General features: G+C 32.5%; 1 protein-coding gene across 4 annotated transcripts in view; it reads left to right on the top strand.

The window, feature by feature from the left end:
- The window catches only part of FSTL5 (follistatin like 5), a 780,104-nt gene that overhangs the window by 229,449 nt on the left and 527,764 nt on the right, over window positions 1–22,891 (top strand). For all 4 annotated transcript variants that reach the window (NM_001128428.3, NM_001128427.3, XM_011532126.1 and 1 more), the window contains exon 4: window positions 13,900–14,148. In NM_001128428.3, the coding sequence (NP_001121900.1) occupies window positions 13,900–14,148 (249 nt within the window). The remainder of the gene's footprint in view (window positions 1–13,899; window positions 14,149–22,891) is intronic.

Genomic DNA, 22,891 nt, shown 5'->3' with positions numbered 1-22,891 from the left:
GAAGGTCAGATCAAATGCTTCTAAACACTACTGATCATATGAGGTTTTTAAAAAGTTACATATGAGTTATTTCATGACTGAGGGCAGTCCAATTTTTTTTGATAAACTATTTGAAAGGCCAGTTGCTATACTTCCCAACCTTCTTTCTATAAATACTTTCTTTTCTTCTATCACATTAACTCATGTCTTCACCTATGATTTTATATACAGCGATGTCAAATTAAGATCCCCTGAGTTTCTACTGTGCTCAAGTTTTATATTTCCAATTGTCTATAATAAATATCTTCCATATTGTTTGCTAGAACTATAAACATTGATAGGAGCAAAGTACAGGCAGAATAATGTGATGGTTAATAGTTCAAGAAAGCATAAGTTTGAAGCCTGGCTCCATCACTTACTATGCTTAAGCTGGGACATGATAAGTAACTATTTGGAGCTAGTTTCTTCTTTATTTGTAAAACAAGAAACAAGTAGCATTTAAGATTGTTACAAAGATCAAATGAGGTCTTCCCATCAAATGATGGGAAGAAAATGCTTAGGTCAGTATAGAAAAATGGTAGTTATTAGTATTAGAAGACAGACTTGTTTAGGAGATATGTTTTCTTACTCTTCCTACTTCAGTGCTACCACTTAAAGAGCTAACTACGTAGAAAAAGTGATTTCAGTGCTGTTTTCAATGTAAGCAAACATATGTGGTAAATAATAATTTAAAAATCAGCTAAAAGGAGACATAGTAAGTTTTGCTAGGTTTCTTTTATTGGGATAACTGTACAGATTGGCTTATTGATTTAGGGAATTATCACTCTGAAACCACTTATAAGGGTAATATAAAAATGATAGACGAGTTGAGGTTTAGGGGACAAAGATTACTGGTTTTCTGTATTTCTGTGTTCTTCTTTTGTAACCATTTTCCACCTTGAAAATCCTAATCATTAAAAAAAAAAAATCCATGATCAAATCTGAGTTCTATTAGGAAGCTTTTTTTTCTCTCAAAATAGATGTTTTTCTCCTACAAAAATTTATATAATTCTGTATCTCTCATGTGACAACTTTTTTAACTTATGAAATATTCATGTTTTAACTATCTCATATCATTACTAAAATATAAGGCTTCAGGACCTAAGCACATGACATGTATCTTAGTATCTTTTTCAGTGCTTAGGTGATTATTTTTCTGTAGAGACTTTTATAACACAACCTCAACATGAGCCAGAATTGAGAAGGTGGGCAGAGGAAAGAAACAAGGACAGTCACCAAGGGTGACACACCATGAAATAGCAATCTAGTGGGATCCTGTGGCTGTGCTGTCTGAAAGGCATAATCAGAGAAAACCGGCAAAGACCAGCAATGTCCAATACATTGGCAGTGTAGGGAGAGTGAGGTGCCAGACCATGTCACACTTTCCTCTAAATATATACCTAACCCGCCATGCGTGTCGGCCAACAATGTAAAATGGACAGTAAAATAGCAATGTTATTATCTAAGCAATTTACACAGGATATAAAAGCAAGTGTAGAGAAGATTATCATACGCAAACTAAAATGTTTATGAAAAGATAATTTCTTGATGTATTGTATTGTTTAGCTTTGTTTTATTTTATAACTTGTAGAGAATTTATCAATAGCTTGAATGTGACCAAAAGCTAGTGATGGGAAGAACAATCAAACATTTAGAAGCCTAGGAATTTCAGCTAACCAATAACATTAATAAAATAATATTTAAAAATAACTGGGAAACTTTTACTTTGGATAAGTAATGAGTTTAAAAATATTAATTTTATTTTATGAATGAGTGAAGATTTCAAATTTGCAAAAGACATAAATATGGAACAACTTGAAAAATCATATTGGCTCATCAGAAAAGTATGAAATAATAAGCCAAGTGATATAGTTCAAAAACAAAAGTTATAGAGCTATAGGATATAAATAAATCAATAAGACACAAAGATGGAAAAATCACAGTGGTCCAGGGGCTACATGAGATTTTAAAATACAAACATACATATATTTACATATATGTATGTATATATTTATATATACACATTCTTATAGGATAGCCATTGTTATTGTCAGGATAATTAGTTTTAAGACCATTAACTTATGTATATGCAATGGGGAGCTTAATTTTCAGACATATGAGGAAGGCAGATAAGTATCAAAGCTTATGAATAAAAAGACGATAAACAGTATCTAACAAAAAACTAAAGATCTTGGCAATTTTAGATTTAAAAATAGTCTCTTGTTATGGGTGGAAAGAAAAATTTCTTATTTTTATATATTAGAGAACCATCACAACAGATTGTTGCTTCAGTTGAAAAGAATATGTTGGACTTAATTATTTTACTGTAAGTGACATTAATATACTAAATTAAATTTACAGGCAAGAATTTGAAAAACTATGCTTTGTTTACCCAACTTGAACCCTATTTTTTGTGTCCAGTCTGCAATACATTTTTTCTTAATTGCTTCTGCTTTTTATCTATTCAAATACTGCCACTACACCTGACAATTAGAACCGTTACTCTAAATAGTCCCGTAACCTTACTTCTCTACCATCATACTTGAAATGACTGAGTTTTGCTGAAAAATAACATTATAACTTGGCACACTGGTACAATTGAAGATGTTTGGACTGTACCATTGGGAGTGATGCCATCTTAGTCCATAGCCCATTATTTATCTTCTTTATACTAAAAATGACCATTTTAGAATGTTGTTGCTGTTAACAAATGACTTGTCTTCCACAGGAGAGAGGAACTTACCACCTACTGCAAAGAAAGCATACAACATTAAGACTGAAAACATGCACTTTTAATCAGTCAGACCTATCTGACTTTAAGGCTCAAATCTGGCATCCACTTTCTTTGCAGTCCAAAAACTTAAAATTTGTGACCACCAGTTTATTCATTTGAAAATGTGAAAATAAAATTTTCATATTGGTATATTGTTAAATTAAATAATACATGTAGACCACATAAAATGCTCATTAAGCAATAATATTATCACATTGTTATTATTGTACAAGAATATTGAGTCTACTGTCCAAGAATTTCCTCCACTTCTCATAATGCTGCTTACAAAAATTGTCTTTATTTATAATCACTCTTAACTCCTTTCCTTTTGTGCAAAACTACCCTCTTTGTCTCTTCTCTTTCCAACTTATACTATATTGCTCCATAAATTGATTTCTTATAGCTGTTCTTGTTTGACTCACACTATATTCACCTAGACCAAGGTAGTGGCTTCCTGACTCCTGTTGTTTTCTTTTCTATCCTCCACAGACTCCTTAAAGCTATTAAAGATCAGCTTCTACGGTCCCAGTGACACATCCTAAACATATTGTGCAAGGCTATTATCATCTTCTCCCTAATTCTCTAACATCTTGTAACAATCATAATCATAATCTCTCCCCTTTGGCAGCATTAGATCAACCTACTCATATATTCATACCTTTGCTTAAAATATCCTTTTACGCATCTATTGTCCACATCCCTAATTTCTATGTAGTGCCAGACTTTTCTTCTTTAGAATGCTTTCTGGGAGCCCTACTAGACAGAGTTAAGTTCCCTTCTTTTATCATAGTGGTATAATACTTTTGAGGTAGTATTTATTATTTCCCCCTTCGCCTTTGTCTAATTCAGGCAGCAGATTGACTCCGTGTCTTTTGCTCCGGGAAAGGAATATAAGCACTTGGAAATCTGAAAAAGCTTGCAATTATTCCAAACACCTAAGCTAGGGGAAATGAAATAATTCAAGGGATAAACAAAGTTTTTGGAGAAATTAGTTATGAAATGGATTTAAAACACATCTGTTGGAGCAGAGAGGTAGAGAGTTGAAGCAAATGAGTTTACGAGCATAGATAGAGCGCTTTGCATCCTGATTTTTTTTAACTATCCAAGGAACTTGAGTGATCATGTGACTAGCAACCAGAATTGTATCAGTGGTGAACCCTGTGTTCTGAACCTGAAGACACTGTATTTACTTCTTATGTTTTGCTATTTTGAAAACGCTACTAACATTGGTGTAATCCTCAAAAGAGAAAAAAAAAGCTTTAAAAATGACTGATATAATATTTTTAAACTTTCTCATGGAAGCATAGTGCTTTGCATATGGTAATAAGTTGATTCTTAGAAAATAAGGTTCTCTTTATTTCCAGTGCAAAAGTTTGTTGAAGAAATTAATGAACTAATCAGTATTTTAATTCAACCATAGAGGGGTTTGGGGAAGAAAACATTGTTAATCATTGACTCTATTTAGATTTATGCCAAAGCTAAGAATTTAGTTTTGCTGGTTTATACTGGTTTATAAGAGCTGGCTGCCCACATGTCTTCTTAAATTCAGCTGTGATGTCTTGTTTGTAGCTGCAGATCAGACACTGTGGGAGTATTTTACAACACAGAAACCAGAGAATGCTACAAACACAGTGCCTTTTGTTAAGCACTAATCACTACATCACTGATTATGACTCAAGGCCAGAAAAACTCAGGAATTTAAAGGATCTTTCCCCAAAACTGATGTTAAGGCAACTATTATAAATATGGCTCTTAAAAAATCTGACATTGTTTCTAATGCATTAGGTGTGAAGAAAATGTGGAGTAAAAATAACCAGCCACACATCAAAAATTATAAATTTGAGGGAAAAATGAGACATCATTTAGTCCAGCACTCTGTAGAAATCCTGAATTTTTCACTTTTTCCTTACTGGATGTCAGAGAGACTGAGGGAAGCCATACCTGGGACTCACTGTCACCCCTGCTTTAATCAGAATGGTGACACTTTTGATTATTTTGTGTATTGGGCTTTTGCACTAGATGTTTTTCTAAGCTATAATTTCCAAGTTTAAACTATGTACACACACACACACACACACACACACACACACACACACACACGTGCCTACCTACATCTGCTAGAGTGGTAGTTAAGATTATGATTGAGTGTATTGTTCCAGTAATTTAGTTCACTGGCAACATTTAAAGTCACTTCCAGTTATGTACATTCCACAAAAAAATTCATAAAAATAAATATCACACAATTGAAAATCCCAGCTTACTTTTTAGATATAGACAAACGGATTCTAAAGTTTATATGGCAAAGCAAAAGATTTAGATGATCTGACAGAATATTGAAGGAGAAGAAGACAGGCATATTGAGCTATCTGACTTCAATATGTACTTTAAAGCTGCAGTAGTCAAGACAGTATGGTGCTGGAGAAAGGAAAGACAAAAAAAGAGTGATGGAACAGAGTAGAGGGCCCAGAAACAGACCCATACCATTAGAGTTAACTGATCTCTGACAAAAAAAAAAAGCAAAGCTAATTAAATGAAGAAAGGATATTCTTGTCAACAAATGGTGCTGAAGCACTGGATATCCATATTTAAAAAAGAGAAAGAAAGGAAAGAAAGAGAGAGAGCAACAGAGGGAGGGAGGGAAGGAGGGAGGAAGGAAGTAAGGAAGGAAGACAAATCTAGTCACAGACCTTATGTAATTCAAAAAAAATTCAGCTTGAATCACAAATTTAAATGCAATATGCACAACTATAAAACTCCTAGATGATCTCTATGGAGGACATCTAAGAGGCTGAGTTTGGTGAAGACATTTTAGTTACAATAACAAAGGATAATAAGTGAAAGGAAAAATTGATGAGTTGGACTTAATTATAATTAAAAATTTCTCTGCAAAAACCACTGTCATGAGATTGAGAAGACATGCTACAGATTGGGAGAAAATATTTGCAAAGACACATCCGATAACAGACTGGTACACAAAATATACAAATTCTTAAACCTTCACAATAAAAATGGGTAAATACTAAAATCAACATCTCACTGAAGATGATTTGCAAATGGTAAACAAACATATGAAAATACGCTCAATCAATCTTATGTTATGATTATGGAATTGCAAATTAAAACTTCAAGATACCACAACTACCTAATTGAATGGTAAAAATCCAAAACATTGCAGACACTAACTACTGATGAGGATATAGAACAACGAAAAACTCTCATTCATTGCTGGTGGGAATGCAAAATGGAACAGTCACTTTGGAAGACAGTTTGGTAGTTTTTTATAAAACTAAATATGACCTTGCCATCCGATCTATAGTAACAATAGTATATTTTAATATTTACCCAAATGAACAGAAACTCTGTGTCTTACACAAAAACCTGTACATAAATATTTATAGCAACTCACTTTATTTACAATGCCAAACCTGAGAAGCAACTAAGATGCCCTTCAGTAGGTGAATGGATAAATAAACCATGGTAATCCATACAATGGGATATTTTCCAGCAGTTAAGAGAAATGAGCTAGGAAGCCAAACATGGACAAGGAGGAATCTTAAATCCATATCATTAAATGAAATAAGTCCATGATAAAAGCCTACATATTGTATAATTCCAACTTTATGATATTCTAGAGAAGGCAAAACTATTATAGAGCCATTAAATATATCAGCAATTGCTGAGGGTTCAGGGTAAAACTTGGAGGGATTGACTTGAGCTCATAATGGTCTGGAAAAATTGATTAGTGGATATTAACGAAGTACCACACTAGGTACTAGTGTGTTAATGGTGTTAATGTTAGGGTGTTAATGGTGGGGAAGGTTGTGTGTTTCTGTGGGAAGGGAATATATGGGAACTCTGTACTTGCCATTCAGTTTGGCTGTGAACATTATATTGCTCTAAAAAACAGTCTCTTAATTTAAAAAAGTAAATATCAATGTATTACACTTCATCATAAAGAAAAAATACATTTCTTCTGAAGAAATTAAATGCATTTTTGCATTTTAATGCTTAATATATTTGGAAAATCTAATTCTTCTTCATGAAAATAATAGTTTTAATGACCAATATTTACTTTTTAAATTAATACACTATTTGGTTTCAATTTTACTCTAATAAAGGAAAAAAGTATATTGTAAAAAGATAATTTACTAGCGTTGATTTTAAAGTTAAAACTTAAAAAATATAATATTCCTTTTCTAGCAGCCGTTTATTTTTATAATTATAACAGAAATTACTATATCTTCATTAAAAAATATATTAACCATATTGCTGGACTGACTTTAACAATAAACATTATAGTCTGAAGTTTGGCTGGACAAATCTACCCTTGTATTACAATGCTTGACCTTCACTTAAAAAATGTTAATATGCTGTTTAATTTTTTAAATCATTGCAAAAAATGCCTTTCTCATTTGAGAATATCTATCTGCTATTTTAAATTTTAATAAGAAATAAGATATTTTTTAAGTGTTGGGTTTATTCCAAAGCCTGAAATATTTTAAGTCTTGCAGATGATTTAGCATATGCCTTTTCTCTCATTGCATAGATTTATATAAAATAAAATACTATTTTTATTTATGTTAATTGATTTATTTTCCTATTTATTATCTAGATCAACATGGTTTATAGATGACAGTGGCAGCTAACTATTTAGCAAAAAAATCACTTTTTTCTGAGTGTCACTCAAATAATTTACTGAATTAAAACACTTTAGAACAAATATTTTGTTTCTAATATTCACAAATCTTAGTTATCTAAAAGAAGACCTTAAATATCATAAATTCACATATGGTCTACGTGTCTTTCTGTCTCTGTATCTACCAATCTATTTATAATGTTAAAGTAGTTCTAAGGGAAACAGTGAAATTTCTTTGGCTTCTAACCAACTTATCATCTAAATAAGTCCTTTCACTTTTAGCCAAAGTGTATAATGATAAGTACTACTGTAATTTTTCAATGGGATGGAGATATTAAGATAATAAGAGAAATCACCGCTTTAGATAGAACTTAGAAAGGAAAAATTAATAATTAGAAAATCCTTTGTGGAATTTGTTATCAAGTTTAAGCATTGAGGTTGGAAAGAGTGTTGAGATTGCATCACACTCTGTTCTGCTTTCAGAATTATCACACTTCAGTTGAGAACATCAAATAAGAAATAACTGTTGCCATATTAGGTACTGATCTCAAATCACTTAACTTCTTGAAATGACACATCAAAAATTATATCTCCTAGCAAACATTCATTAACATGAAACAGAAATTATAATTTGGATGGGTGCAAATTACCTGGATCTCTGGCTTTTTTCTACTTATTATTTTCATACGGCCTCTTGTAAAAAAACAAAAAACAAAACAAAAAAAAAAAACCTTCTTCTGTTGCAGAATTACATGAAGAAGCTTGCAGAACCAATGGATTGTCTAAAATAAGGGAGAAAAGAAGGGTTCAAACTCACTGAACTACAGATTATGTGACCGTTGAAAAGGATTGTCGTTCAGTAGTGGCACACTGGGCAAACTTTTAGTCAGGCAGCCTTTTTTGACCGACTGCAAAGTAGCAGCAGGAAACACACATCCCAATTATTACAGGTCATGAAAAGATTATACTGTGCTCAATCTTCTGTGGGCATTCCAGTATTTACTTGAACTGCCCCTTGCCATGAAGTTTGTGAGGTTCGAATGCATTTTGTTAGAATTTACAGTGTGCAACAGGAAATTGTATTTTTTATGTAATAGTTTCACAATTTTTCCATTTGTGGGAATCAAAACATCACCAAAATATTATACTTAATTCTAAATCAAAATATTTAATTGTGTAATGTAATTTTGAATTTTTCCTTCTTCCTTTTTTACTTTTTGCAGCTGAAGTAAATTCTTATACAGTGAAAGTCCATGAAAATTTTAAGAGTATATTTTGAGAACACACATGCTGCCACACTCCCCTAAATGCATTTCCAATGCTTATAATAATAACAAGAGCTGTAGAGGGCAGTTATCTATTTAATTCAATGATTCTAAGTCAATATGTTCTATGTACCAAATCTGTAATAAATGATAATTCTTAATAACAGTAATGAATACATTTGTTAAGCAGATACTCTATGCCAGGAATTTTCAGTGCATTATTCTACTTAATATTCTTAACAACCACATGATATCATTATTACTGTAATTATTATTATCTTCATTTTATATATTCATGGAAGTAACAGTTACTGAGTTCCTACTATGTTCTAGTTAAATGAGAAAACTGAAGCTCAGTGATTTTAAGTAACTTGCCTAAAAATCATACATGTAGTCAAAATACAAATAGAGGATTCTGATTTTAAAACCCAAATTGTAAAAACCTATTGAAAGTAATGGCAAAAACCACAATTACTTTTGCACCATATTAGCATGAAACAAAAAGTAAATCAAAATCTTAGAAGAGTAATTTAGAAAGTCAAAGTCAAAATTCTTTTGCATTTTGTATAGCCGAGGCTATTTCTAGAGTATGTAAATATGATTTAAATTAAGAAGTATATGATTGTTCAAGGCAGGTGAACTATAAATAATAGATATTATAGAGAAAACTTACTAAATATACTCACCATACATTAGCTTTCATTAGAACTGCGTTTTGCTGAGCATTATTACATTAAAGGATTTTTTGGATGAGAGCAAATCCAAAGATAAATTGCTGGTTACCTCTTATTTTACAACTAGAACCCAATAAGGCCCAAAGGGATTGCAGCCTGGTTGAGGTCACACCAGAGTGGAACAGAAAAGCAAAGACTCAAATTCTGTTCTATGACCAAAATCTGTTGTTCTTTTTAACCAATAATTGTGAACATAATACTTACATTTTTTACTTTAACATAAAACATTTTTATGAGATAATGAACACCTCAAATAACTTGACGCTTTAAATACAACAATATATTAATATTCCATAATAATAGTTAAAGGCAGCTAACTTCAAAATCTGGTTCTTCCCTCCCTCTTTATTATTGTTTTAAATCCTGCTTCTGTCTCTATTCCATGCCCTGTATATCCTTTTATCAGCCATTAGACTCTTAACTCATTCTTTAAACACAGCCTCAGTTATTTGTATTACATGGTACATTGTTTGTGAGGTCTTACATGATCTCAATCTCCTTTGTGCCCTTAAATGTCCCCCTAAATCTTAGTCTCTCTACTTAAGCATGTTCAAGTCCTATCTTACGCTCTTTGTAAGCCACTTGAAGAGTCAAGTGTCAATGATTATTCTTTTTATGTATCATATACCAACCAATATACCACCTTGCTCATAAAAATAATTGTATATTATTAAAATTAAAGTTTATTTCAATTTAGATACACTCTATAAGTATCAGCTGATATATTAGATATACATATAGACAAGAATATAAATATAAATATATATTTTAAGATAATTTTATTCATTATTGAGAATCTGAAAATGCCATCTTAGAATAATAGGGAATGATTTTGCTTTATTGCTTGGTATGTTTAGTCTTTTAATATTTTTATCTCTTTTTAAATTTGTGGAATTTTTCTAATATTCTGAAGGAATAAAAATTATAAAATATGAATTTGTTAAATATATAATCCTTTTTTAGGAGTAAATGCTATTTGATAAAACTATAAGCTACCAGGATATAAGTTCTTGATTAAAATTCATTTAGTGTGTTATCTGACTGAATGTACTTAGAAGAAATCTTTGACACGTTGATCAGATTAAATTGATTTAATCTCAGCTGAAACTTAAGTTCGGCATTAGTCATGGATAATTACTGTCAGAAAGGGTATGTTCTAGCTATTCATTTACATAATATGAGCTTTCTTTGGATTGCATATGAATTAATTAAATTTCGTTTAATTGTAGCAGCTACATGCAACACACAGCTTCTAGCTAGTGTAAAATAGTTCATTAACTTCTACAAAATGGAAAATATCCTAATATAAATCTCTGAACTAGTGTAGAGGCTTTAAGAGAAAGGATTTAAGAGAAAATATGGGAAATATTGTGACCAACCTATATATACTAGATATGACATGTTATAGGAGAGCATTCCCCTAAAAATTGGAAAATTTCACTGATTCATAAAGCTACCTCAATTTGTGACTAAAATGTAAAATGATCAGACTCTTAAAACATTAGCTCATTCTTCAATACTAAAATAAACAAAACACTCTCTTGAAAAATCTTAACTCATTATTTGATGGAAAAAATATGACATAAAATTATACAAAATATAAATATGTGAGTCAAATTTATCTATTATAATGGCAGCCCCATATAGACTCTATAAACATTGAATTAACAATTTGCTTAATTAAAAACTGGCATAAGGATGGGGAAATATTTTTCTGTTTTGAAATCAGTATTTTTATACTTTACATTAAAGTATTTTTCTACTTTATTTTATAGTAATAATTGATATAATTTTGGATTTTCTTTCAGTACATTAATTTTTTTTAAAGTTTAGATAAATTAAATTTAACAGAGTTTATTTGCACAAAGAACAATTCAGGAATCTGGCAGCCCTCAGGACCAAAAGAGATTCAGAAAGCTCCATCTAGCAATGAGCTATTATAGGCCAAACATAGAAGCAAAGTAAATAAATGACCTGCTTGGCTACCACGAGGCATCTATGTTATTTGGGCATGGTTGGAAGAAGCATTTGCCTTTTTGAAACTGATCTGATAAATTGATTTCCTGTGATTGGCTGAAACCTGGTTATTTGTTATAACAATATATTCTTAAAATCAGTTTTGGCTTGTTTACTTACTAATAAGTTAGGGTACAGTTTCTCACTTAGGAACTCAAAATACAGAGACACCTTCAAACTAATGGACTCCTGCTTATTTAATTTAGCATAATGAACATTAAAAAGCAATCATGTAAAAATAGCAAAACTTGCCCAGTACCATATCAACCTTGCTAAATCAACTATATTCATTTTTAAATTTCTTTTCCTAGTATCTTCCAAATAATTGCATGATTTTATAAGGTTTTGATGATAGCATTAACTTCTCATCTTTTTCCACTTAAGAGCATTTTAAAATTATTCACCTAGTCTTTCTCTTAGTATATATATTTTAATTATAAGTTAGGATTTCAGTAAGTCAGTGCCCTAAAGTTTGATCCTGGAAGCAGAAATATCACCATCACCTGGGAACTTGTTAGAAATATAAGTCTTGGATTAGACTTGAGATCCACTGAATCAGAAACTCTGGGGTGAGGTGGAGAAAAAATTTGTATATTAACAACTTCTCTGGGTGATTGTAAGCATGCCAAAATTCAAGAACTACTGCATTACATAAATTTTCCAAAATTGATTTTTTGCTAAGTTTTTTAAATTTTAATTTCAGGGGTACATATACAGGTTGGTTACATAAGTAAATGTGTGTCATGAGAGTTTATTATACAGATTATTTCATCACTCAGGTATTAAAATATTTCAGTGAGTTATCAATATTTAAAATAACATTGGAGATACATCGGAAATATCTTTTCAATAAATTATTTTTCCACCTATTTGTTTTAAATTTCATGGAATCCTTCATCAATAATTATAATATTTTATCAAAGAGTCAAATAGTTTGAAATTTTTTACAAGTAGATTTGTTCTAATTTTCACTGCTATCAGAAATATAAATTAGTTTTTAAAAAATATGCCATTGGTACTGTTGATCTTTTTGTGTAATTTTAATTTTGCTAATTTAAATTCCATTTGAGAATTCATGCATAAATATGAAAATAAAATTAATGTATGAGCTTCCTTTACAAAAGAACAAAATTGATTACTTAAATACATTTCCATTCACATATTTATGTCCTTTTGAAAACCAATTTTTGAAGAGCTGTTAATAGTAAGTAACACAAGGAGTTTTATATGTGCCAATTGCAACCCTTTAATCTTGATAAAACTATGAGGATACACTATTGTTATCCCTATTTTACAGATGAGGAAACTGAGTTACACGTGAGTTACAGATGTGTTAGGTAGTCACCTAGGGCCCTAAAGCTTGCAACTAGGGATTTAAACTCTGGATCAGAATCCATGTTCTTAATTATTATGATGCTGTTATGTAGAGATGGTTTAAACAAACAGCTGAGAATATTAATACATACTAACTACTCAAAAAATTACTGTAACTTATGCTTGTAACCTTTCAAATATTTCTTTTTTGCAATACATAAGTGTCATTGATGCTAAATATATATACAAATGTATGTGTGTATACATGTGTATACATATCTATGTGTATCTATGTGCATATGTATATTCAATTTACTGCCATTTTTCATTTTCTAAAATTCTCAAAGCTAAATCTGCCTAGAAAAGCATAAGGAATTGAAGTTGCTAATTTCAGCCTTAGTACAAGATTGGTGGATTCACTTAAACTTTTCTGATGCAAATTGAGTTTATTAGACTAAATAAGTAACAAGAAAATATAATTCTTCATGATTTGTTGATTTAGTCATGATATGCATCAGTGATTGTCAGGTGGCAAAGGTCAAAACAAGAAAGGATCATGTATCAAAGTTTTCAAGAGACAGTTATTTTCCACTCCTGTCTTCTTAACATTTTCTGCCTTGTATGCATACATTACTTTCTCCTATCTACAATTCTGTTACTGTAAAAGCTAACATTTATGGAACATCTATCATGTGCCAAGGATGTGCTTTCTGTGGATTATCACATGTAATAGTTCGAACAACTGTAGAGATGGTCCATACTATTATTCCCATGTTACAGATGGGACAACTTGGCACAAGGAAGGAATTTATCCAAAACATAAAGCTAGTAAGTGGTCAAGCCAGGATTTAGTCTCAGGCAGTTTATTTAGCTTTACAGACCTTGTCATTAAGCACTACACTTCTCTGGGGAGGGAGAAGAGAGCTCAAGTAGAGGAGAGGAAGAAGGGAAGAATACTGAAAGCATTTTGAGAAAGTTCATGTGCAGTTATTTATATAAGCATGTCCACCACTGAAAATTGAGCCCTGAATACACTATACTATACTTTTCTTAGAACACTTGTTTTCCACTTGATACTCTGAAATATATATATTATTTGGACAAATGAACCAAACGATTTTCAATTTTTTTTTAATTCTTCAGGATTTATGATTCAGGATGGCCCTTTTGGATCTTGTGAAAATAAGTACTGTGGTTTGGGAAGACACTGTGTTACCAGCAGAGAGACAGGGCAAGCAGAATGTGCCTGTATGGACCTTTGCAAACGTCACTACAAACCTGTGTGTGGATCTGACGGAGAATTCTATGAAAACCACTGTGAAGTGCACAGAGCTGCTTGCCTGAAAAAACAAAAGATTACCATTGTTCACAATGAAGACTGCTTCTTTAAAGGTAAATGAAGGGTGAACCTTAAGTGTCACCCCACTCTATTTCTTTTCTTTCTCAACTAGTGCCTTTAAACTCTAGCAATTTTATATCAGCAAGGGTCTAAAAAGGAAAAGAAACACAAAATAGCCTAAGTACTCCACTAAGTAGCAGTGTGTGGAAATTTACATGGAAACAATTCTGATATTCAGTTATGAGAATAAAGCTGGCCAAAATATGACTCAAAATTTAATATAGCTTTCAGCATTGCACCATATGGCTTCCCAATCATGGATTTTCTTAGGGACACAGGGTGGCCAATTCAGTCTACAGGCCAAATTCACCCAGTAAAAAGCACCTGGAGTGGAATTGAGGGACTAGTGAGTGCCAAGCCATGCTGTGATAACATTTCATTCCTTCCTGATTAAAAACGATGGTTTCAGTTTGCACCACATAATTCAAATTATAAGGAACCAGTAGTTGCCCACTGAAATAACTAGAAGAACTCATGCTAAATCTCATTAGTGAATCAGAGATAACCATAGTTAAATTTTTTTTAAAGTACTGGTATTCACTTTCATGCATTTGAAAATCATTGGTTTAGAAAAGTACTGAATTTGTAATTCCATACATTATTTTTACATGCCACATAAATAAATCATTGAACAGTTTTAACATCATTCAGTTTTTATACATTTATTTGTTGTTTACTTGTTCATGCTGTTGGAAATATTTTCTCGTTTATAGTCATGACTCAGTCTGAAATTCTAGAGTTAAATGTGTAGAACTTCCATCAATAATTAATCTGACTTCTAACCTTTGGTCAGTGCCAAGTCCCAGTTTCTCAGAATATTTCTGAAACGTATTTACACTTAAAAACCTGTTTAATATTTTTACTCCTAGCTTAAATTTATGGCTGAAAAATAATTTTATTACACTCCACTCATCCACCTATTAAGGTAAATTGAATAATTAAAAATTATCCTTTTTCAAACTTTCTCTAACACAATATTATTTCCATCGTGATTTAAAAATGACATGTAGAGCTTTTCAGATGATGCAAGATGCAATGCTCTGTTATTGTTGCTGCTAGAAATCCTTTAACACATTTGAAGTAAAACTGGGATAATTTACTTACCATAGTGTACTGTGTGCCTCTTACATACATGTGCAGAGAATTTTATGACAGTTCTTTTACCAAAAGGATAACAGATACTTAGATTTCAAGTTCAGTTTAGTTCCCTTTTCTATCAAATCTATTTTACAAATAATATTTGTAAAATATTAGGGAATTTTTTTCTGTCATTTTGACACAAGATGGTATGGTGGAAATTATACTATTGCACTGATACTTGACACTATGAAATTATGTACATAATATATAATATGTAACTATCAAAATATTTTAACTTAGCATCATATTCTCAAATTGAGGGTTTGTTCACCTGACATCCATATGGAAACACATAATATTTAATATCATGTGGGGTCCTGGCATGGTGGCTCACCCTGGTAATCCCAGCACTTTCGGAGGCCAAGGTGGGCAGATCACCTGAAGTCAGGAGTTCAAAACCAGCCTGGCCAATATGATGAAACCCCATCTCTACAAAAATACAAAAATTAGCTGGGCATGATGGCGGGTGCCTCTATCCCAGCCACTCGGGAGGCTGAGGTGGGAGAATCTCTTGAACCCAGGAGGCGGAGGTTGCAGTGAGCCGAGATAGCACCACTGCACTCCAGCCTAGGCAACAGAGCGAGACCCCGTCTCAAAAAAATAAATAAATAAATATAAATAAATATCGTGGGAAAATAGTTTGTTGTATTTAATGTTCTGTTTTGTAGCTGTATGCTTAGGAATAATACCATTCAATGTCAGGATAGGATGCATGAACAATAGATTGATTTTATTATAAAGTAAATGTATAAAATAATGGTTTGAAGAACTTTTGTTCTTTGAGCTTATACCAAACATATTTATGAGATCTATTGTTACTTAAAAATACTTTCTCATCATGTGTAGTGTTAAAATTTCATTTATACTGTCTGGGTTATTTACCAAAGTTTAGCGTATTTTCCAGGTCTCAGAAATTATGGGTCTTTTGTTTGCTTATGTACTTAACTTGGTGTTTTGCCTAAAATACAACTAACTCATAAAATTACTTTATTTCATCAGAAAGGAGTAAATAATATAAACCAAAACAATAAATTGCCTGTCTTATTAGTGTGCATTGGGCCAAGTTTTGATTGTAAAAGAAGATTCTGTAAAGCTGAGGCCTGATATTATTGTGATAGCTAAAATTAATTTTATAATTGTGAATTATATTTTTTGTGGAGTTTCAGCAAGTTATATTACTTGCTATAGTGGCCCAATGGAAGAAGCAAATCGAAATATTAGGTTAAAGAACTGCAAAACCTTATATTCATTTAGGGATTTTTTAAAGAAAAAATGAAAAGTTAAATAAAAAAATGGAAAATATATTTGCTACTTTTAGATTTTTAAAAGGTGATTATGAAAACCTTAGAATGGGAGTTAAAAAACTATTGGCCAAATCCAGGTCACAATCTATTTTTCCGTAATGTTTTACTGAAACACAGCTACACCCATTGGGAAAGGAGAGTTGAGTACTTGCAATGGAGATTTTATGGCCTCTAAATGCTAAACATCTTCTTATGTGGATCTTTTCAGAAAAAGTTTGTTAACCCCTGCTTTAAAAGTTTATTGGTACTTTAAAATTTATTTTAAAAATTATTAGCAGATCTTTACTATTCTGTATCTTCTTGACTATCTTGATGAATACAGAGACTTACATATGTGGCAAAATTAAGTAGAACTAAATATATACGCAAACAGTGGAAATAAAACAGGAAATCTTAGTAAGACCCAGGGATAGTATTAAAGTCAATATCCTGGTTAGGATATTGTGCTATAATAATACAAAATATTATCTTTAAGAGAAACTAGGTAAAGATATATGGGATATGTCTGTATTATTTCTGACAAATGCATCTCACAAAGAAAATTTTAATTAAAAAGTCCTGGAAAAATATTGGAAAATACGTAAAAGCTTTTAAAGAAAGCAAGATTTGCATTATTCCTTACTGATTTGCACTTCAAGGTAAGTCCTGTTTGTTTATATCAGATTTATATTTGGCATTTATGTTTAAACTTATTAAAGGTTGGGCGCGGTGGCTCATGCCTGCAATCCCAGGACTTTGGGAGGCCGAGGCGGGTGGATCACGAGGCCAGGAGTTCAATACCAGCCCGGCCAACTTGGTGAAACCCCGTCTCTACTAAAAAAAATACAAAAAAATTAGTCAGGTGTGGTGGCAGACGCCTGTAATCCCAGCTACTCAGGAGGCTGAGGCAGATAACTGGTTGAACCTAGGAGGCAGAGGTTGCAGTTGCAGTGAACGGAGATTGCATCACTGCACTCTAGCCTGGGTGGCAGAGCAAGACTCTGTCTCAAAAGAAAAAAAGAAAAACTTATTAAAATAATTTGTATTTGTAGAATCAGGTGTATTGATGCATTGTTTTAAAGTTAAAATCCATGTTAAATCATCTACATTTCTATATAAAATATTTTTTATATACCTATATCTGTATATCCTCTTTCTATTACTTGTGTTACATATTGAAATACCTCTGTGTTAATCTTAGCATTTTTTATTATTATTGACTTTTAAATATACACGTAAATTTACCAATAATTTTTTTAGTGATTTATGATTTGTAGAACTATAGATAAAATAAACAATATACCTATGAATATAATATTTGTCTAATTTATTCCTATTCACATTTATTTGATTATGAAATAACAGGCTATAATCGGATATAGAATATTGTAGCATTTGTTTATTGGCGTCAGATACTTTGTGATGATGCTCAACGTAACATAAAACATTCTATTTTTATAAAATGCCTAGCTGTTCATTTTTGTGATGAGACAGTTCTGCCTTAAAGTCATTTCTCTCACAAAGGGCTTTCTAACTGCAGCAATTCACAACATCCCTTAAAGCAAGTACAATTTCCTTTCACCCTGGCATCAGGTCATTCCCTCATACAAAACATCTATACTACTCAGAGTATAGATGTAAACTGGAGTAAGAAACTTAAGATATAACCTATGCCAAAATGAAAAGGGATTTAAACCTTTTATGAGAGTCAATTGAACAGAAACCCTTCTGCTATTTACTGTGCTGAGAATAAAACTGCCATAAAGGTAAATGTTCTGTGCACTTAAATGTGCATCACAAGCAATAACAACTTGAGAAATATGGTTGTCACAGCGATCTGTGCACTGTTAGCATGAAATCTGACATTGTTTCCATTTTTGAGGCATAATCTGAACAGACTTTTGTATTACATATTTAAATTAGTTATTTTACCTGACTTTTTTCTTTTCTTCTTTCTTTTTTTTTTAAGAAGGAACTTGTAGAATTTAGGCTAAAAAACTGGCTGCCAGATATATTTTAAAATATATTAGTAAATGTCATGTGCTAATCCACATGTATTTTTTAAATAAGGGCACCTTTGTAAAGCTTCTGTTTTATGTTAATACAGCCTTTTATACCATTTAAACAAAAATAGCAGCCTGAATAAATCTATATACATTGAAAAATGATATCCAGATTTTTGTTTGTTTGTTCTGTTTTGTTTTTGTTGTCAGTATTAGACAATTGAAACTGCATGTTGATGATGAAATACATAATTTGGACAATAAGAAATGTAGATAAAATTTTCGAGGCCAGAATACTGTCACACAGTGTTTCCAGTTCCTCTGAATTCCCTTAGTACCCACAACATCAAAAACAATTTTATTAATCCCTTATGTTTGGTACATCTATGTTAACATTTTTTAATTCGGTGATGTGAAACCTTACATATTTTATATGTTTACCTGCCATTTATAAATACATAGGAGACATATGATAGATGTTTTATATATGTATAATAAAATATAATAAAATCTAAAAAGGTGATTAATACTTAGGCAGACTCATCACTCATTTTGGGATTTTGGGATATTAGACATTAGGACTATTCAACAAATGTTACCAGAGAGTGGGAAGGTGGGAGAAAGGAGACAAATGGAGAGGAAGAGAAGAGAGACAGGTAGGGAGAGGGGGAGGGGGATGATGGGGGGAAGAGATACAGAGAATGCCAGCAGGACTAGTGATAATAATAATAACAAATTGAGTATTATTTATTTCAAAACAATTTCACAAATGTTAAATTATTAATTAATCATTCTAAAAAGCCAATATACTATAGTGAAGGCAACAAACTTACAGTTTTAAAAATGGCCCATCAACATTCTCACAGTAAGTTAACCTGAACTGGGACAGGAACCAAAGGGCAGAGGCTTCCCATCTAGTGCATGTTTGTTCCAAATATGTCTGCCTAAGGCTACAATATTGTAATATCTCACTTGCCTATGTTTCTTAATACATTTTACTTTTAATAGTGATTTCTATATGAATACTTGACATCATTTAGAAACAATCTACCATCTATGGTATTGGTGAAGATTAAATCATGCATTTAATGTAATTCTTGGCCAACAGAAGAACACAATAAGAAATTATTATTGGGTTTAAGACTAGAACTTTAGTAAATGTACACATTTGATTATAATAAATTTTCAGACTTGAGTCTGTGAAGTCATCCATATTTTCTTTTGAGTTTATATTCAGTTATAGTATTGTATCTGGTCAAATTAACATAGAAATGAGTTTACAAGATTATAATAGGCTAATTGGTGGTGATCAATTTTCCAATTTTAGATAATTATATTTAAAGAAAAAATAACTACAATGAGTTTGGAAATATATTTGTTATTGATTGACATTTGTAAAATTCATTGTCATTTTTCTTACTGATGATTTATGCAGGTTAATTTTGTTTATCTTTTATGACAAATAGAATATCTATTAGATCTATAACTTAATATTATTTTACTACCCCACTACATTTCTCCCCCAAAAAATATTTTAGTGATTATGAAGTGGGTTTGTTATTGCATTTAATTTCTGTCAAATTTTCCCCTGTGATATATATATAAGAATTAACTTTAACATTCAAATCCTTAGACAATTTTATCTTGTTTTTATACATTTTCATGCTATTTCTTTTTTCTTAGTTTCAAGGTGTGAAATATGTGTTTGAGCTTACTATTTTATTTTGTGTTTTTTGATAGATTTATGGATATTCCACTACTAGTCATGGGCACAATAGTCAAAAGTGACATAAAAAAACAAGAACATTTCGTCAGTTCAAATATTTTTTCTTCTACTTTGTCTCTCCCACAGCACGTGGAATTCTGGGAGATACAATTCAAATTGAGATTTGGGTGGGGACACAGCTAAACCATATCATTCCACCCCTGGTCCCTCCAAATCTCATGTTCTCACATTTCAAAACCAATCATGCCTTCCCAACAGTCCCCCGAAGTTTTAACTAATTTCAGCATTAACCCAAAAGTCCACAGTCCAAAGTCTCATCTGAAACAAGGGAAATCCCTTCCACCTATGAGCCTGTAAAATCAAAAGCAAGCTAATTACTTCCTAGATACAATGCGGGTACAGGTATTGGGGTAAATACAGCCATTCCAAGTGAGAGAAATTGGCCAAAACCAAGGGGTTACAGGGCCCAAGCAAGTCCAAAATCCCGCAGGGCAGTCAAATTTCAAACATCCAAAATTATCTCCTTTGACACCAGGTCTCACATCCAGGTCACGCTGGTTCCCATGGTCTTGGGTAGCTCTGCCACTGTGGCTTTGCAGGGTACAGACTCCCTCCTGGCTGCTTTCATGGCTGGCATTGAGTATCTGTGGCTTTTCCAGGTGCATGGTGCAAGCTGTCAACTGACAGCATTTCCATACATCTTCTGAAATCTAGGTGGAGGTTCCCAAACATCAATTCTTGACTTCTGTGCACACGCAGGCTCAATGCCACATGGAAGCTGCCAGGGCTTGGGGCTTCTACCCTCTGAAGGCACAGCCCAAGCTGTATCTTGGCCCCTTTCAGCCATGGCTGGAGTGACTGGGACGCAGGGCACCAAGTCCCTAGGCTGCACACAACACAGTGACCCTGGACCCAGCCTACCAAACCACTTTTTCTTCCTGGGCCTCCGGGCCTGTGATGGAAGCGGCTGCCATGAAGGTCTCTGGCATGGCCTGGAGACATTTTCCCCATGGTCTTGGAGATTAACATTAGGCTCCTTGCTGCTTATACAAATTCCTGTAGCCGCTTTGAATTTCTCCTCAAAAATGTGCTTTTCTTTTCTACTGCATTGTCAGGCTGAAATTTTTTTTGAACTTTTATGCTCTGTTTCCCTTTTAAAATGGAATGTTTTTTATGGCACCCAAGTCAGCTCTTGAATGCTTTGCTGCTTAGAAATTTTTTCCACCAGATACCCTAAATCATATCTTTCAAGTTCAGAGTTCCACAAATTTCTGGGGCAGGGGCAAAGTGCCACCAGTCTCTTTGCTAAAACATAAAAAGAGTCACCTTTGCTCCAACTCCCAAGAATTTTCTTATCTCCTTCTGAGACCACCTCAGTCTGGATCTTATTGTTCATATCATTATCACCATTTTTGTCCAAGCCATTCAAGAAGTCGCTAGGAGTTTCCAAACTTTCCCACCTTTTCCTGTCTTCTTCTGAACCCTCCAAACTGTTCCAACCTCTGCCTCTTACCCAGTTCCAAAGTCATTTCCACATTTTCTGGTATCTTTTCAGCCATGCACTACTCTACTGGTACCAATTTACTGTATTAGTTCATTTTCACGCTGTTGATGAAGACATACCCGAGACTGGGAAGAAAAAGAGGTTTAGTTGGACTTGCAGTTCCACATGGATGGGAAGGCCTCAGAATCACGGTGGAAGGTGAAAGGCACTTCTTACATGGCAGCGGCAAGAGAAAAATGAGGAGGAAGCAAAAGCATAACCCCCTGATAAACCCATCAGATCTTGTGAGACTTACTCACTATCATGAGAATAGCACAGGAAAGACTGGCCCCCATGATTCAATTACCTCCTGCTGGGTCCCTCCAACAACACATGGGAATTCTGGGAGATGCAATTCAAGTTGAGTTTTGGGTGGGGACACAGCCAAACCATGTCACCTCCCATAGATATTTCACTTACCATATTCATTTTCTCAGTATCCTCTTGTCAAATGCTGAATGCAATATTTCTATAACTTACAAAATATTGAAAAGCAAAGAATGCTTTTTACAACTATTTTTCAATATAATTGATTTTTCTTCTATATTTCTATTCAAAAACACAGTGGTAAAAAAACCTTTTCATTGATTACATTCAGAATATGTAATTGAGGATAAAATGTTCTAGAAAATGCCGTTGAAAATTGTTCTCTATTAGTCTGATTTATATTTCACTTCTGAAATTCTTTCTGAAGAGCACCCACAGATATTTCACAGAGCATAGGAAAACTTATTGTTGATAAAAATTTTAAAACCAAATGAGAAAAGTGAAAAGCTTTGTACCTTATCATCCAGATAGTTATGTGAAAAAAGTGTTTGGATGGAATTACATTAAATAAAGGAAATTCTGCACTTTCCAGAATGACGAAAAAAGCATGAATAATTAGCAATATTGCTCTTTTCACATAGGTTAAGCAAAGTTTAAAAAAGTATTCAAAACAATTTTTAAAAAATTAATTTAATGCAGTAATATGCTAATTGTTTTAGTTTAAGACATCATATCATCTAGCTAGAAATTATTTATTGGCCCTCTCGTTTCGAT

This window comes from Homo sapiens, chromosome 4, assembly GCF_000001405.40.
Source record: "Homo sapiens chromosome 4, GRCh38.p14 Primary Assembly".
Lineage (NCBI taxonomy): Eukaryota > Metazoa > Chordata > Mammalia > Primates > Hominidae > Homo > Homo sapiens.
The sequence above is the reverse complement of the archived record's forward strand: the minus strand, read 5'-3'. Positions and strand labels throughout refer to the sequence as shown.